The 19,307-nt window shown below is 35.2% G+C and overlaps 1 protein-coding gene across 12 annotated transcripts in view; it reads left to right on the top strand.

The window, feature by feature from the left end:
• COL21A1 (collagen type XXI alpha 1 chain) overlaps positions 1–19,307 on the top strand; it is a 337,539-nt gene that overhangs the window by 219,896 nt on the left and 98,336 nt on the right. For 9 of the 12 annotated variants that reach the window (NR_134851.2, XM_011514924.3, XM_006715223.2 and 6 more), the window contains 7 exons: positions 3,105–3,273; positions 3,368–3,584; positions 5,936–6,109; positions 7,250–7,327; positions 9,411–9,419; positions 9,727–9,810; positions 17,284–17,346. Coding sequence is in view for 9 of the 12 variants with exons in the window: in XM_011514924.3 (XP_011513226.1) it covers positions 3,105–3,273; positions 3,368–3,584; positions 5,936–6,109; positions 7,250–7,327; positions 9,411–9,419; positions 9,727–9,810; positions 17,284–17,346 (794 nt within the window). In the remaining 3 variants the exon portion in view is untranslated. The remainder of the gene's footprint in view (positions 1–3,104; positions 3,274–3,367; positions 3,585–5,935; positions 6,110–7,249; positions 7,328–9,410; positions 9,420–9,726; positions 9,811–17,283; positions 17,347–19,307) is intronic. The other 3 variants (NR_134849.2, NR_134850.2, NM_001318752.2) reach the window with 2 other exon arrangements.

Below are 19,307 nucleotides of genomic sequence, written 5' to 3'. Positions count from 1 at the left end.
ATCCTTTTTCTTTTTTAATGTAGGCATTTATTGCTATAAACTTCTCTCTTAGTACTGTTTTCCTGCATCTCATAAATTTTGGATGTTGTGATTTTGTCATCACGTATTTTCTAACTTTGTCTCTGATTTCTTCTTTGACCTGATGGCTATTCAAAAGTGTGCTATTTAATTTTTACATATTTGTGAATTTTTCAATTTTCCTCCTGTTGTTAATTTTTAGTTTTATTCCATTGTGGTTGGAAAATATACTGGTATGATTTCAGCCTTCTTAAATAAGACATGTTTTGTGATTTAACATGTGGTCTGTCCTGGAGAATGTTTCATGTGCAATTGAAGGGAATGTGTATTCTGCTGCTGTTTGGTGGAATATTCTGTATGCATCTGCTAGGTTCATTTGGTCTATAGTATTGTTCAAGTCTTCTATTTCCTTATTGATCTTCTGTTTGAATGTTCTAATCATTATTGAAATCCTCTACTATTATTGTGTTTCTTTCTATTTCTCCCTTCAGTTCTGTATATGTCTGCCTCGTATTTTTGTTATCATGATGTTGGCTGCATATATAATCATAATTATTATATCTTCCTGGTGAGTTGACCCTTTTATCATAGTAGGATATCTTTCTTTGTCTCTTGTTATAGTTTTGTACTGTGTGATATAAGTATAGACATCTCTGATGTCTTTTGGCTACCATTTGCATGGAATATCTTTTTTCATTTTTTCACTTACAGCCTATGTGTGTCCTTAAATTTAAAGTGAGTCCTTTTCATTTCTCTTTTCTTTTCCTTTCCCTTTTCCCTTTTCCCCCCTTCCCTTCCCTTTCTTTCCCTTCCTTCCCCTTCCCCTTCTCCTTTCCCTTTCCTTTGTCTCATTCTGTTGCGCAGGCTGGAGTGCAGTGGCATGATCATAGCTCACTGCAGCTTCAACCTCCCAGACTCAGTCAATCCTCCCACCTCAGCCTCCTGAGTAGCTGAGACTACAGGCACATGCCACCATGCATGGCTAATTTTGTTGTTTTTTGTTTGTTTGCTTTTGTTTTTGTTTTTGTAGAGATGGGGTTTTGCCATGTTGCCCAGGCTAGAGTCTTTCATAGATAGTATATAGCTGGATCTGTAGCTCTAAACCATTCAGTCTCTCTATGTACTTTGATTAAGGAGTATACTCACTTACATTTAAGGTAATTACTGATAGGGAAAAATTATTGTTGCCATTTTGGTAATTATTTTCTGTCTTTCCTGTAGCTTTTTGTCCCTCTTTTTTTCTTTTACTGTCTTCCTTTGTGTTTTATTGCTTTTTTTGTAGTGATGTCCTTTATCATTTTATTTATCTTCCGTAGGTATTTTCTTTGAGGTTATCATAGGGGTTACATGAAACATCATGTAATTATAACAACTTATTTTAAGTTGGTATGAAATTAAATTACATATAAATATTCTATATTTTTGCTACCTGTCCTTTGTTACTGATGCCACAAATTGCATCTTTTTATATTTTATATCTGTTAACATATTTTTAAAGTTACAGTTTTTAAAAATGCTTTTGTCTTTTAACTTTTACACCAGAATTAAAAGTCATTTATGCACACTGTTACAGTATTATAATATTGTGTGTCTGTCTATATATTTACTTTTATCTGAAAAATTTATACTATCTTATGCTTTTATGTTGCTGATTAGTATACTTCTGTTTGATCTTGAAGGACTCCTTGAGAATTTCTTATAAGGCAGGTCTGATGGTGATGAACTTTCTCAGCTTGTGTTTATCTAGAAAAGTCTTTATTTCTCCTTCATTTTTGAAGAACAGTTCTGCCAGACATAGCATTCTTGTTTGGCAGGTTTTTTCTTTCCTTTCAGCACTTTGAATATGTCATCCCACTCCTGGCCTGCAATGGTGCTATTGAGAAATCTGCTGATAGTCTTATCAAGGTTCCCTTGTACATAACAAGTCTCTTTTTTCTTGCTGCTTTCAAAATGTGATCTTTGCCTTTAACTTTTGACGATTAGATTACAATGTGTCTCAGTGTGGATTTCTTTGGGTTTAACTTAGCATATATTAGGCTTCTTGAATTCGAGTATCCATATCCTTTCCCAGATTTGGGAAGTTGTTGGCCTCATCTCTTTAAATAAGCTTTTTGTCCCCTTTTCACCCTCTTCTTTTTTTTTTTTCTGGAACTCGCAAAATGCATATATTGGTATGCTTGATGGTGTTGCTTAAATCTCTTAGGCTTTCTTCACTCTTTCTCTTCCTTTTTCTTTTTGTTTCTCTAACTGGATAATTTCAAATGACCAATTATTGAGTTTGCTGATTCTTTTCCCTCTGCTTGTTAAAGTCTGCTATTAATCATCTTTAGTAAATTTTTTCAGTCATTGTATACTTCAGCTAAAGTATATCATACTTATTACCTATATAGCTGACTATGTAATGCTAATGATTATTCTTAAGAAAATATTCTTTATAAGTATGATTAATATATAATTATAGATGAGATAATATGTCCGTCTGAAGAACTTTCATGAATAGATGGGACCCAGGTTAAGTTTTTTCCAGAGAGACAGACTAATGATATTTGAGCTATAGAAATATAAGCTGCTTGAACTGGAAAGAAAATCAAGAACAGAAAATACTTTTTACCCCTTAAATGCTAAGAATGCAAGAAAAGAATTTTAGTGTTCATTTTTGAATTAAATAAATTAAAAGCATTATCCAAAGTTGTATGACTAGTTAATAGGAAATCCTGGATGAGAATGATAAATCCTGTTCCATTGTTTTTCTTTTCCATAGGTGTTATATTGTCTCATATTGCTATTGTCTCAATTTTTTGCTAAAGACAATACATTAACAAATATTTATATTTTTGTTTTACTTTTATCCCTTATTTTTTAGAGAAAAAAGCATATTAAGATCTCACTCTTAAATGTGTAAAATACTTCTACATTTTCTCAGAAAATGTATTCATATACATTTATATACTATACATTTGTATACATATGTAGATTTTATAATTCTAATGATAGAATACTATATTGTCTAGTATTTCTCCCTTGATTTTTCTTTTATTGTTTGAATAGTCCATGATTAACCAACTTTTATTGCTTTTGCTTTATAGAATCTGTCTGTCCAACACGAATTCCAGTGGCAGCTCGTGATGAAAGGGGATTTGATATTCTTTTAGGTTTAGATGTAAATAAAAAGGTTAAGAAAAGAATACAGCTTTCACCAAAAAAGATAAAAGGATATGAAGTAACATCAAAAGTTGATTTATCAGAACTCACAAGGTATGCATTATATGTTGACACAACTTTTTTGGGGGGATATGTCTGTGGACATGTCAAGAATTCTTTAAGCTTACACTTGCTCTTCTTTTTCTAGCAATGTTTTCCCAGAAGGTCTTCCTCCATCATATGTATTTGTGTCTACTCAAAGATTTAAAGTCAAGAAAATTTGGGATTTATGGAGAATATTAACTATTGATGGAAGGCCACAAATAGCAGTTACCTTAAATGGTGTGGACAAAATCTTATTATTTACAACAACCAGCGTAATTAATGGCTCACAAGTGGTTACCTTTGCTAACCCTCAAGTTAAGGTAAAGATGCCTGGGATAATACCATGATTATGATATTCATGGGGAAGCACTATTGGGTTTATGTGTGTTGGGGAAAAGAGGGCTATAATTTTAACATGATTGGAAATATTTTTACTTTAAATTTTAATGTTTCTGTGTTGAAGAAAACTAACAAAGAAAGGAAAATTGTTTCTTGATCAATATGGGGACAAATGCTGAGGGGGAACTGACATATTTTGAGTGCCTACTACTAGGTACCAGGCACATTTAATTATAATAGCCATCCAATAAAGAAACCATTGCTCCCATTTTGCAGACAAACTAATATTCAAGGATGTTAAGTTCTCCCTCAAAATAGAACAGCTAATAAGTGATGACATCAGGAATTAAATTTTGGTCTAGTTGACGTCAAAGTCCATATTGGTCTGTTTTACACTGCCATGTTCTACAGGATATTTACATGAAGACATATCTGTTAGAATATTAAATACCAGATACATAATAGGTATGAAATTTACCTTAATTTAGGAGGACATTTTATTTACCCTAATGGAATACATATTTAATAGAATATACAAACTTGAAAAAGTTTATTTTCAAAATCATGTTTTCAGAATCCAGATGCAATAATAAAAGTAATTAAGTTTTGCTCATTATTATGATAGTCTAAAGCCATATTACACAGTTTAGGAAATATATATGGTAATATATATAAAGTATGCAATTTCTTCATTTAGTAATTATATTACATTTAAAAAATTGTTATTTGCTGTCTTCATTAAAGCCAGTGTGCCAGATTCTGTAAGAAATGACAAATGAATAAGGCATGTTTCTTACCTTCAAAGAGCGTATTTACAATAGGATATTCAAGGCAACTGGTATGAAATAGAAGTACAAAGTGTTAGTGGAGTGTGGATGGGAAAATGTGTTCTAACATAAAATAAGAGGAAATCTGCATAAATGAAATAATTTTTGAACTGGACCTTGAAGGATGTATAGCATTTTGATGGAGATGAATATAAGGGCGCATTAAATAAATGATTCAGTATTGAGTCATCAGGTGTGTAATAAAATGCAGGGTTTTTATTTAGAGAATGCAAAGTGACTCTCCTGTGTTTACAGTATAAGATGCATGGAAGAAAAAGCTATCTAGGTGTAAGCCCAATTTATGAGGGGCCTGGAAAGCCATATAATGTGGTTTGGACTTTATTCAGTGAATGTTTCATCAAAAGGTCTTGACCATAGTGTGTCATGGTCAAGGCAATCTTCTCTACTTCTTTTTCTTCTTCTGTCCATAAATAATACTTTCAACTTTATCCTTAAATTAGGCCAGGTCCTGGGGATACAGAAATTAATAAGATGGAACATCTCCCCTAACAGAACTGTAGGGAGAGAGATTAATCCTAGTGGTGATCTGAAGGATGGCTTGGAAATGAAAGGGTGAGAGATCTAGATAGATTTGAAAATTATTGAAGTAAAACAAGAGTTCCATGAGCCTAAATTATGGTAGTGACAATGCAAATGAAGAAATGAATTTGAGTCAAGTTGAAGAAATATATTGGGTAGAACTCTGCATCTGGTTAGTTACTGCAACTCAAAGAAAGAAACTTATGTTTAGAGGATGCTATTACGTAGGGAAATGGGGTCAAGAAGAAAACTCTGGGGGGTAGTTCAAGTTTATTTTGTTGCATACGTTGTTGGGCTAATTGTGAAACATCCTGAAAAATTATTCTACCTAGTATTAGAATTATAGGACCCACACATAGGAGAGGTACAGGCTGTTAGTGTAGACATGGTAGTTATTATATACCAGTGATAATTGGCCTGGAGGAATGGATGAGTCAAAGAGGGGGTGAAAAATGTCCAGAATAGACCTATGAGTAATGCCCTCATTAAAGGGTAGGTTGAGGGAGAAGAACACTCAGAGACAGAGAGAGAGAATGAGCAACTAGGGAGGAAGAAATGAAAATGATCAAGATTGTTTGAATTCCAGAAGTTGAGTGAGATTATCAAGGAAGATTGATTAGTTATGGGGCCCAAAGTTGCAATGAAATAAATGAGATGAGGCAAGGAGGGAAGCCATTTGGATTCAGAGATTATTAAACTCATTTATGATTTTGAGGTAGTTGCTTTAGTAAGTTGTTTGACAGTTTCTTTGAAATATGTAATAGGAACTCAGATAAAGATTAATGAAAGAATTGGTGGATAGCATATGAGGTCCACCTTGGATCAGGGTGAATTAATGTATAATACAGTCAGTCTGTGTGGGATGAAGTTTCTCAGCAATGGTTAGGAACAAGGGAGTAAGAACAAAGAAAATAAAATATTGTTAGGGGCTTTATTTATGAATCTTCCACACTTTCTTTTTGTAGACGTTGTTTGATGAAGGCTGGCACCAAATTCGTCTCTTAGTAACAGAACAAGATGTGACTTTGTATATTGATGACCAACAAATTGAAAACAAGCCCTTACATCCAGTTTTAGGGATCTTGATCAATGGGCAAACCCAAATTGGAAAATATTCTGGAAAAGAAGAAACTGTTCAGGTAGATAAATAATGATTTACTCTTTGAATTATATAGAATGAAACTTTTGCTGTCCTTTGTAATAGTTTTCACCACATTTAATCATATTTAACATACTTATGAATTCCCTTAAGTTGTTCACCAAAATGTGGTCAGTTCATTAGTGAAATTATGCATATGTATATGTATTAAAATGCAGAATTGGACTTAATCTATTTCATAAGAATATTTAGAAAAATGTTCCCCTGGGTTCAGGATAGAATTCTACATTTCTAGGAAACATTAATTTCATGTTTCCCAAGAGAAACATAGTTTAAGTAATAAATTTGGAAAAGAAAATATAGTTTCATCTGTAAGTGGGGCTATAAAAATGTCTTTGCAGCTGCAAGGATAAAATTAGATTAATTCATGTCAGGGTTCTTCACAAACAAAACTGTTTCTTAAAAATAAAGCAATTGTGGTATGTTCAAATTATACCTACAGAAGTTTTGTTTTGACTTTTTGATACCTCCTTAAACTGGAGTATCTGTATTTGGATGGAGAAATGTGTCTGTAAATGCCATTTCTAGAAAAACCCTTTATTTGAAAAGGTATGTCCCTCCTGCACTGTTTCTATTAAAGGAAGAGTCTGTCATTTTCATATACGTGTTTACACATGTGGTCTCTATGAATTAATGCTACATGTCAAATTGTAGTAAATATTTAAACATTAACAGGTGCTGGGCCTACTAATCACACAACACTCCATGCCAGCAACTAAATAGCGAAGACCAAAGATGGCTTCTTGAGTCCACCCTATACCATCAGGAATGTTGTGGAGATTTAAGATAAACACAGAAAACCTGGGAAAACTTTTAAGTGTCCGACAAAATGCTCTTTAGATTAGCTTTTAATACAGGAGTACTAAAAAAGCCTCACTGAGTTCTGGAAGAAAATCGATTTGCTCTTGGTGCTAGGGAATTTTTCTTTAGTAGTTATGTTGCATCACATCTTTACAGTGTAAAGTATTAAAATTTTGTATTTTCATTGTTTTAGCTAAATGCTGTGATGTAAACCTTACACAATTACTAACCATAGTGGATGTTTCTATGTATCTGAGTTGCTCTTATAAAACAATTAGCTTGTGCCTCAACTTTAATTCTACTGGGTTTATGTTCTTAGTTTGATGTCCAAAAGTTGCGAATCTACTGTGACCCAGAACAGAACAACCGGGAGACAGCATGTGAGATTCCTGGATTTGTAAGTAGGAGGGATTGTTTTTTTCCCAGATGTTGCTTTAGTACTTTCAAAGCAATAAATAAAAAGCAGATACTATCTGAGTATTAATTTAATATGTAGACTTAATTTTATTTTTTAATGTTAGTGGAAGTGAAGTTACATGAAGCAAAACATATTTTGAGGTTATAATTGAAATGAGATTGTTATGTGTCATTGTGCAAGTATGAATGAAAGACCACAAGGGAATGTTTTCTTGTTGTGTTTTGTTTTGTTTTGATTTGGAGTCTCACTCTTGTCGCCCAGGCTGGAGTGCAGTGGCGCAATCTCGGGTCACTGCAACCTCCGCGTCTGGGTTCAAGAAATTCTCCTGCCTCAGCCTCCAGAGTAGCTGGGATTACAGATGCCCGCCACCACACCCAGCTAATGTTTGTATTTTTAGTAGAGACAGGGTTTCACCATGTTGGCCAGGCTGGTCTCGAACTCCTGACCGCAGGTGATTCGCCGGCCTAAGCCCTCTAAAGTGCTGGGATTACAAGCGTGAGCCACCACGCCCTGTCAGTAATGTTTTTCCCCGTCGTCTATGACTATGACTATTCCAGTGCTCAGGTAAAGCAAGATGAGACCTGCTCCAGAAAAATGTAGGATGCTTTGAATGTCAGTGTGTGAAATACATTATTATACTTAATATAATCATGTATAATATAATATAACAATATAATAATGTACATTAAACATGTGGACAGAACACCCCAAACAGCACAGTTCTGAAGAGCAAGAAATAATTATTTTTCCTTTTCACTGACACTTTTTCTCAAAGTGTCAGTGAAATAATGAATAGATACTTTTCTTGTTGTTGATATTTAAGTAAAAATTTATTATAGTTCTAGAATATAAGCAGCGTTTCTATTTATTTAGCTATTTTCATTAATGTGTTAGGAGGAAAAAGATTATGAGCTAAAATATTATAGCATCGCATGGAGTGTGTGTGTGTGTGTGTGTGTGTGTGTGTGTGTGTGTGTAATCAATCCCCTTTCCCCTGGGCAAAATATTGGTGTATTACTGCTAGTGGAAATATGGTAGAATGTTGCACAACTTTTTGACAATGTAAATTCCCAGTGATATTTGAGTCAACCATAGTTTTTAAAATGTGTGTAGTTATGTTGTCATCATCTTCTTTTTTCCCATCAAATGGAATAACGTATGGATCCACATGTTCTAAAACCTTGAAGACACAGAACAGCACATTTAAAAGATCTGTAATCAAACAGAGTTTTCTAGAAAGGATTTATTCTGGGTTTTCTAGATAAATAACTGTTTAAGCACTATAGTTTTAGATATTTATAACTTGAAAGATAAATCTCTTTTAAAAGTGTTAATAAGCTATGGCATTTGAGAATTCATTGTGCATACTTCATTTATTGATGTCTCTGCATTGACATATGATGATTACCATTATCCTTCCATATGATGAAGCACAGCTTTAGATAGCTGATTTTGAATTCTCCCTTCCACTTTATGTTTTAATGTCTCCTTCCTTACTCTCAGATGTGACTTTCTGTGGCCTGTTTGCCTTTTGCACCTTCAATCCAACCTTCTTATTTTTGAACTAATTTTTATTGATTGGAAAGATGATTCTCCTTTTAAAATTGTATGTTATTTAATAAAACACAGACTATTTTAGGAGAAGCTCTCCTAAAGTGCAAGATTTTAATGCATGCAGTTTGTGACTTCCTCAGATGTGTTTCAACATTTTTTTTCTGGTTCTTAAATGATTTCCTAAAATTTCAAGACAGCATATAAATCTCATCTGGAGGTATTTTTTAATCTTGCATGGCTATTATATCAAGCAGCTCTGGTGTTCTAATTTTCTTCTTCTACTCACCTTAAAAAAATATATCCTTTCTGTATTCTCCTATATGAATGGAGTAGTAACATGTATAGATAGGTGACTTTTTAGGATAAATGCAGGGAAATATTTTGGTTTTTGTTGGTTTTCATACTTCATATATCTCTAATCTGGATGGTGAAATATCTGTAAATTAGGCTGATAATTTATAAATTTTATTTAAAACATTTTAAAACACATTTGTTGTTTTTCTTTCAGAATGGAGAGGTAGGCTTGGATACTATTGTTCCCCTTAAGGTAATATTTGTATTGTGGGACCACTTAGCTCTTTTCCAACAACTGTAAGTATGTATATTAGACAAATGGAACCCATTTTTATGTAACTTCAATGTATTTAATATTTATAGATTTTTGTGATTTGGAATTTCCTATTGGGTTGGGTTAGATAAAATTTGAAAGTGAATGTAAGATATTTTTGCCATTTTACACAAATATATAAATGCATAAACATACGTGTGCATGTACTTATATGTCTTTCCATGCTTGTTGTCTGTTTCCATTTTTGTCTTTATAGTGCCTTAATGGTCCCAGTGATGTAGGTTCAACTCCAGCTCCCTGTATTTGTCCTCCGGGAAAACCAGGACTTCAAGGCCCCAAAGTGGGTAACACCTAACTTGCTGTTTTTGTTAAAACACACAAACAAGAGCTGGGTAAACCATACAATTCCTAATCACCATTGATCCTGTTGAGAAATTTCTATCTGATTTCTTATAGAGTTTAAAACCTCAGTTTTAGTCATTTTTTTTCTAGAAAAACAAGTGTATTCTAGCCTAGATTAGGATACCTTTTGAACCCAAAACTGTATCTGTCATCCACATTAAACTGAGACAGTATTATTTGTTTGGTTGTTTTTTTCCCCCAAATACTGCTGCTAGATCCCAAGAACAATACTTCCTTACAATCTGGTAAAAAATGAAGAAAGGGCATTTGTGAAGACATGGTCTGAATTCTTAAATGTCTCAGTTCTTAATTTGTCAAAATAATTTTTGGATGGAAAAAATGAAGTAAGAAATTTCAAATTGATTTTATTATTGTGAGTTTGATATCTAGTTCAAAAATAGAGCCACATACATTTATTTCACTTAATCATGTACTTTTGGGGAGAATATTCTTTTAGTCATTTCCATATTTCTATATATGCGCTTGTTCCAGTTACATTTACATATTGATTTGTATACAAATGTACATATACATTTTTATATGATCGGAGCCATTGTGTGCGTACTACTTTATAACCGGTTGTTTTATACATAATATGTTCTGAATATTTTTCTATGCAATTTAATATTAATGACTAAATTTTTTTTTTTTTTTGAGACGGAGCCTTGCTCTATCGCCAGCTGGAGTGCAGTGGCGCAATCTGGGCTCACTGCAAGCTCCGCCTCCCGGGTTCAAGCGATTTCCCTGCCTCAGCCTCCCGAGTAGCTAGGATTACAGGCGATCACCACTGCGCCCGGCTAATTTTTTGTATTTTAGTAGAGACGGGGTTTCACCGTGTTGGCAAGGATCGTCTCGATCTCTTGACCTCGTGATCCGCCCGCCTCCACCTCCCAAAGTGCTGGGATTACAGGCGTGAGCCACCGCGCCCAGCAAATGGCTAAATTTTTAAGTAAGTTGTGCTTCTTGTGGCATCACTTAGACACAGCCTAAGTAAGACACTAAGAAGTGTAGTGGTTTGTCCATGATATATAAATCTTGTTTACTTAACATTATATTAAAATATCACCTAAATAAAATAATGTGTAACTTGAAAGCAAGTATGTTTCCCTAAGCAAAAAGATAATGTTTATGTGTATTGATCACCTCTTACTTGAAGCGACCATAATCATTTTTGTTAAATATGAATCGTAATGTTCATTTAGACTGAATTTTCTGATTAGCGAATTTTCTGAATTTTCTGCTGGTCCAAGATAATTTAATTCTTTCTATCTTTTATGTATGTTTTTCTATTCATTTTCAGGCCTAACCATTAAAATAAAGAAAGATATGGAATTTAAGAAGTATACATTTGATCTGTCATTCAAAGTAAATCTCTGTCTGGCTTTAAATTTGAATGCCATACATGATAATCAGTGTATTATTGTGAATTATTTTTAGATAGCATTTAGAAGAGTTAATTCAAATCATCTTTAAAGTAACCGTCTATTATTTTAGATGCCTTGACATAAAGGAGAAATACTTATAAAATTCTCCTGGGAGAATATAACCTGGAAGACACCTTGGTGTGTCCTACCAGTAGATTCTTTTAAAAATATATATGTTCATATAATTTATTCACCTTGGAATATTATACATAAAAGTAATTTGACCTGCATGAGATATAATGTAGAAATTAGAGACCCATGCTGTCTGACCTATCAAAGCCTAGAGTGCTTTTCTGACTCTCAGTGAGGTTCAAGCCACCTCTACCATCTCCAGGGTCTCCAAGGGGCTGTTCACTTTTGGGAGGCACCTGAAGCCTCTGCTGTTTTCTGATTGTCATTTGTGGTCCAATAGATGTCTTGTAGTGTCACCTATTTTTACTCATGTACTTTCTACACGAAATTTTTAGCACACCCATTGTCTTATCTGATGAAGCCTCTAATTTTTTAATATTTCCAAGTTTCATGTGTTTCTCATTTTCATTTTCTTTTCTTAGTCATAATCTAGCCCTATTGCCACCTACTACTCTAAGTGAAATTGCAGTTTTCCACCAATCTTCAAGTTGGCGTGCCTTTTTGATCTGCTTTCCATTTTCTTCAGAAAATCTGGCAGGAGGACAGGAACACACACACACTCTTCCATCCATTTAGGACTCTTTATCCTGGAAGTGGTTCCTTACCCAGAACATGGACCTGTATGTAAAAAACAGAATCCCTAGCAACACTCTAAGTTGCACTTCTTTTCTGGCTTTGAAAGTTGATAGGGTTTTAATTAGTTCAACAGAACCTGAATTAAAACAGATGAGACAAGTTTACTTTAGGTTCCACTGAGGCTTATTGGCCATTTTTGTTATATGCTTTCTGGAAAGGTTTGCAGAAGTCCATCAAATCGAGTGACCTGTAAAGAACAGATCTAGCTTTTCTATTAACCAGAAATAGAGTTTTAGGAGATGAGTGCGGGGTCGAGACTGAAACAGAGGAGAAATTTTTGTGTTGATAAATGGGGAAGTGCTGATTCTAAGATAGTTATTTTTTTTAAAGTTCTTTAGATTTCTGGAAAATATGACAACACTGTTGCAAAACCAGGTCAAAATGACAAGGTACACCACACTTAGACTTATCATTGTCATTGTAACTCTTTATCAGGCATCAAAAAATTATCTGTCACTAGACTGTAATCTCCTGGAAGAATGGCTTATTTTTTATCCCTAATGATAAACATAGGGAATGATTAATGAATCCGTTGGAATCATTTGTATATGCAAGCCCTTCTTTTGTTCACAATAAAGGTTAATAAAAAGAAAATTCTCCTTTGGCACTCCAGTCTGGCACAGTGCTTAATAGTAATACTTTTTGTTAAAGGAATTGTGAAATTGTCAAAACAATAAGATCCACCCCTCCCCCCATTTAACCTATATGGAACGCGCTTCTGTTCTGCGAGAAAGATCCAGGTCCACCCCAGCTTGCAGATAACTTCCTTTCAAATGACCCGTGCATGCAAATAACAGCTTCTTCCCCTGCTTCAGTAGCCAGAGGAACAGTTGTGGTAACAAACTCCTACATTTGCTCTAACCTGAAACGTTAGATGTATTAGGTCAGAAGTGGAAAGAAGACATTTTTGTCTTTTTTAGGTTAGGACAATTTTTTAATAACTTCTTTGCTCTGAGATACCATTTTACTATAGCCATATCTCTGTTGATAGCCTTTGTTACACCCTAGTAATTTTGCCAATTAGAGATTCATTGGGACTATCAAGGTACCCTCTGTCTAAACACAAAAGCCTTTGGAAAATTTCAAGGGCCAAGGGCATTTACATTTTTATGTTAAAATTTTTCAGACTGAGTAGAGTCCTCCTAGATTCAGGGAGTGGTACTTGGGTTCTGAGGGAGGAAAGAGGTTGATTTTCGAGAATGGAATAGGTCTTAGGTCAGATGCTCTTGTGGAGACCAGAGGGGTAGCATGAAGGCGTAAGGTTTTTTGAAATGAAGGCTTACAAACGTCGTATTTGGACTTATATGAAGTATTCCAAAGTTTTGCCTTGGATGAACAACTTAAAATATTAGCTTATTTTTATAAACATAACTTTTTCTTACTTTATTTATATTTACATTACTTAAGAGACCATATTCAGAGATGTTTTAGTTTAGTCCATGACATTTCCACTCCTGTCAACAACTTAAAAATCCTGTGGCACAAATTCAAACAAACATAAATAGATACTGCTTTTCAGCTGAGTACATATTTTTGAAAACTCAAAATGTACAATTGTTTCAACTAAATTAGAATAAGGTGGATTGGGAATTTAGTCACAGTTTTATAATAATAAGTCATGTGTCTAATTTAATGTATTGGGGAATTTTTTTTTCCATATTAAATTTTCTAGCATTCTTCAGTCTGGTTCTGATCAGTGTATTATTGTGGACAGGAATGGTAGTGTTTAGGAGCTTGGACCCTGGAGTGGAACTGGTTGGATTTGAATCCCATCTCTATCACTGCTGTGTGACCTCAGGCAACTTACCTAACTTTCCTGGCCCTCAGTTTTCCTACACAGAAAATGGGAATAATAAAAGTATCTGCTTCATAGGATTATTACGAGAATTCGCTAACTCAATATATGCAAATCTGTTGGACCAGTGCTTAGCACATAACAGTCAATAAAGGTTGAGTGTCAGCTTTTATTAACAGTAATAAAATTGGCTTTCTCTCCAGTCAGCTAAATTAATTAGGATTTTACTTTATTCTTCCAGTTTTATAGGAACAATACCAAACCTACCTGAGTTTTTGCGAATAACTTAGTGACAGCAATAATCAAAATAACCAGTAAAATCTAACAGCAATAGCAGAACCTACAAGAAATTATTTTCTTCTTGGGGCTGTTGACCAGTGTCATAAAGACTGTTGACCAGTCTTTATGAAGTCACATTGGATTTATCTTGTGGGTAATTTTTTCATTTGGGAACTTAATTTTGATTAACTGAAAACATTATTATTAAATATCTTTTTTATAATTGTATGCAGCATAAAAAGCACAAGTCCCTTTTCCGTGCCAAATTTTTATTTCAGCCTGATGATGATAGAGATTAAACCCTGTCAAATCCTTTTGATATCTTAGGTTTTGCTGATAATTGATATTCTACAAATGAGTGGGTAAATGACAGATTGTATTTGAAGCATATCAGACAAAAAGTAGTTATTGAATCTCTACTTGATACCCAGCATTGTACCAAAAAAAAAAAAAAAAAAAAGTAAGGCCAGGCATGGTGGCTTACACCTGTAATCCCAACACTTTGGGAGGCAGAGGTGGATGGATCATGAGGTCAGGAGTTCAAGACCAGCCTGGCCAACATGGCGAAACCCTGTCTCTACTAAAATTATAAAAATTAGCTGAGCATGGTGGCGCATGCCTGTAATCCCAGCTGCTTGGGAGGGTGAGGCAGGAGAATCACTTGAACCTGCGGGGTGGAGGTTGTGGTGAGCCAGGATCATGCTATTGCACTCCAGCCTGGGTGACGGAGCAAGACTCCGTCTCAAAAAAAAAAAAAAAATGTAATTCAGACTTTGCTACAGTCTCAATCCAAGTGATAAATGAAGACTAACCAAGGGAAAACTTTGAGAAAACACTAGTTATGAATAAGTGATTTAAGAGCTATCATAGCATTTCAGTAGAAAAAGACACCAGGAAAAAATGGAGTAAGAAAGTTGCAGTGAGGATAATTTTCTCTTATTAACTCTAGAGTGGAAAAAGAGGAAAATTTATTCCAGGGAAAAGAAAAACATGGAATTTCTTGAAAGGCAGCAAGTCCAATCAGCACATGGATAAGGAAGGATGGCAGGGAGGCTGGAGATTAATGTGCACCTTCTCAAAACAAGAGAGAAATTCTAACTCCCTAGAGACACAGAAAGTTGTTTCCTAATGCCCAGCCACCACTGCAAGTCCTTGGATTAGAATTACAAATTACATTTATTCAGCGAGACATTACATGGTTCAGCATTATTTTCCCCCCTTGGATTTACGGCTCTTCTTTCTGTCTTTTAAAAATGACATTTCCCTTCTTCTCAAGCCTTTCCTCAAGCTAAGCCTCTTGGGGGGCAGCTGCTAAGTGAACAGCTCATCCCTGCTTTATTGGTTCCTTATTAGAGTTCACTTAGTTCTTTCCATTTTTTTTCCTGTTGTTTCAGGAACAAATTTCCCTAGCCAGGAGTCTGAAGTAGTATTTCCATGAAATTTGGCTCTGTAATAGTACCCTTAATCACAGGGTAGGTGACTGATTTCTATGTGAATGATTTCTTGATAAAAAATAGTAAAGAGATCAGGCTCAGTAGTTCACAACTGTAATACCACCACTTTGGGAGGTTGAGGAGGGAGGATCACTTGAGCCCAGGAGTTCAAGACCAGTCTGGGCAACATATGAGACCCCACCTCTACAAAAAATATGAAAATTAGCTGGGCATGATGGCTTGTACCTGTAACCCCAGCTACTTGGGAGGCTGAGGTGGAAGGATCACTTGAGCCTGGGAGGTTGAAGCTACAGTGAGCTGTGATCACACCACTGCACTCCAGTCTGGGTGACAAAGCAAGACCCCATCTCAGAAAAAAAAAAAAAAAAAAAAAAGAAAAAAAAAAAAGAAAAAACCCACGAGTGAAGAATTAATAGAAATCATGTGCATCTATATAGGAACACCCTGATACTTACGGCAGTGACTTCATATTTTTCAGCAGGATGCTCCATTTAGACTTCACGAATTCAGAGATAGATACCTATGATATTTTTTAGTATTTTTTAGAATTAAATTATAAAACACCCTCACCTCACAAAAAGTGTTGCTTTCATGTTTTTTTTACATGGATGGTGACCATCTGAATGGTCAGTACTGGCCATTGGGCAACACGCAAGAGTTCCATAGAGTGTGACTGAGCTCATTGCCATGTGGTATTAAACAGTGTTCTTTAAAGATCTTAGGTTTTTGAGGATAAAGTTTTTTTTCTTCATTTAAATATTACATGTATTCAAGAATTATGGGACTTGGAATAGGGTTGTTTGGCCTGGGCCTTGCTCTCATAGTAATATTATGTTAATCTGAGATTGCAAGTATAGACAGTAACACAGCAACACACTTACAGGATTGAAAGAAATGATAGTCATGCAGCTTTAAACTTGAATTCTACATGAGAGATCACATGGTCTACAGACTATTTTTAAAATAAATATGAGTTAAGTTGTATTATAGGACATCGATATCTATATATGTAGAACCTATACGATATAATTAAGTCTATAGGCTGGGTGCAGTGGCTCACCTAGCAGTTTGGAAGGCTGAGGCAGACAGATCACTTGAAGTCAGGAGTTCAAGACCAGACTGGCAAACATGGTGAAACCCCATCTCTACTAAAAATATAAAAATTAGTTGAATATGGTGGCACATGCCTGTAGTCCCAGCAACTCGAGAGGCTGAGACAGGAGAATCTCTTTAACCCAGAAGGTGGAGGTTGCAGTGAGCCGAGATCGCATCACTGCACTGCAGCCTGGGTGACAGAGCAAGACTCCATCTCAAAAAAAAAAAAAAAAAAAAAGTCTTATGAGTCAAATATTGCTATCATGGAGACCATATTTGCTATGTCACTTTACAGTTCGTTCAGAATTCTAAAAATGTATCCTACCATAAATGTGCATATTTTGCATCAGTGGAAAATACTTTACTTGCTATAGTTATACTTGGTGTGGTCACATAAATAAATCATTGAAAGTTCAGTATAATAAAATGCATTATTTATTAAGTAAGCATTTAAAATATGGCTTTTTTTTTTTACTTTTGTTTTTAACATACAAAAAACCTCAAATAATGGAATTGGTTTTGAACTTTTATTGATCCTGACTGCACCAATGTGGCTGGTTGTTTTGTACTCAAAAGTTTGTTTGCTTCCTGCTTAGGGTGACCCTGGACTGCCTGGGAACCCTGGCTACCCTGGACAACCTGGTCAAGATGGTAAGCCTGTGAGTACTGAAAGCTTAGTCATCTCCGGTATATCTGGGATTACAGTGTCAAAGTAAAAGTTTTGCTGAGCAAATCTAAACAGACAAGGAAAGCTTTATTCATGACTGCTGCCATAGGAAGGAGAGACTGAACTCAACTCTGTTGGAACGAAAGGAGCTAGGGTGTGTGAGCACTAGGACAAGTTAATGGAAAAGTAGTAGAGGACTTTAGATGGGAGGTTGATCAGTATAGGCTTAAGCACATTGAGTTATTCCACAGTTTGCAAATGTTTTCCTCTGTGATCAGGCCATCTCCCTTTACTAATTGGTGCTCATCAAAGTTAGGTACACACCCTCCCTCACAGACTGGAAGATAGTGGGGACACTATCTTCCTTGATGATTACATTTCAAAGGGGTGGCTCTCAGGTCCTTGAGAAAGACATTTCTGGGTTATAAAATTGACAAGTAGCTTTTTAGAGTATTTACATTTCAGAGGAGCAGAGAAGGAATTTACAATTTTAAGTCCTCTAAAGCAAATGCTCTAAGGAAAAGGGAGGTCAGGGATCCACAGTCAGGAAGAAAGCTGCCTAAGTTTAGTCAAGTTGAAGAGAATGTTAAGGCCAGCTTGGGAAGAGAGTTAGTGTTCTAGTCAGCTTTTAGTTATCTTACTTCAAAATTGCATACATCTTTGCTGCAAAGAAAATATTGTCCAGTGAGTTCTCAGTATCATGAAGGGCTGGTTTTAGAAATTCTATTGTCTTTTCTCTGCACATCTGTGGAAGCTTTCAAATTAAAAACACTTTTAAAGGTAATGTTATTTTCCTAATAATGTATACACTGGGATATATTTATAGTCTGACTAAAAAATACAATATCCTCTAAGGCTCAAGGAAACTTAGAGATGTAAAGGGAACATAAATCAACTTTAAAGCACTTTAGGCAAATATTTACAGTTAAGTCACTATCAGCATGTTTATAAGAGTAAACACGAAGAATTAGCTTTTGGCTGGGCATGGTGGCTCACGCCTATAATCCCAGCAATTCACAAGGCTTAGGTGGGTGGATCACTTGAGACCAGCAGTTTGAGACCAGCCTGGCCAACTTGGTGAAACCCCATCTCTATTAAAAAAAAGAAATACAAAAATTAGCTGGGTGTGGTGGCACACACCTATAATCCCAGCTACTTAAGAGGCTGAGGCACAAGAATCACTTGAACACGAGAGGCGGAGGCTGCATGAGCTGAGATCATGCCAGCCTGGGTGACAGCACAAAAGTCTGTCTCAAAATAAAATGAAAAGGAATTAGCTTTTGAATGTTTGAATGTCAAATTATAATTGTCACCAAAATGAAGCATTTCCTGAGATTTTCTTTATCATGAGGCATTAATTCTTACCACGAAAGAGTGGGAATGTTTACATTGTGAATCAAAATTGTTCGAGGAATGAAAGAACCATAGATATAATGTGAAATCATCAATACCTTAACCATGAGGATGAAAGAGTTGCTTAAGTTCCTGAGAGAGATTTCCTAAGAAATTAAAAAACAAGAAATAAAACAAACAAACAAAAAAAACCACAACTAGCCAGATTTTGAAGAAGTAGTAATGTGCTGAGGCTTTTTATACTAGGGAAATGTGCTGCATGGGAAGAGGATGGATAAACAGGTAAACCTCTCTAGAGAAAGATTATCCAAAAAGGGAGGTTAATTATCCTTAGCAAACTAACACAGAAAATGAGATATTGCATCTTCTCACTTATCACTGGGAGCTAAATCATGAAAACATATGGACGCATAGAGGAGAACAACACACACTGGAGCTTATTGGAAGGTGGAAGGTGGGAGGGGGGAGAGGGTCAGGAATAATAACTAATGGGTACTAGGCTTAATACCTGGGTGATGAAATTATCTGTGCAACAAATCCCCATGACACAAGTTTACCTATGTAACAAACCTGCACATGTACCCCTGAACTCAAAAAAGA

This window comes from Homo sapiens, chromosome 6 (genome assembly GCF_000001405.40).
Source record: "Homo sapiens chromosome 6, GRCh38.p14 Primary Assembly".
Lineage (NCBI taxonomy): Eukaryota > Metazoa > Chordata > Mammalia > Primates > Hominidae > Homo > Homo sapiens.
The sequence above is the reverse complement of the archived record's forward strand: the minus strand, read 5'-3'. Positions and strand labels throughout refer to the sequence as shown.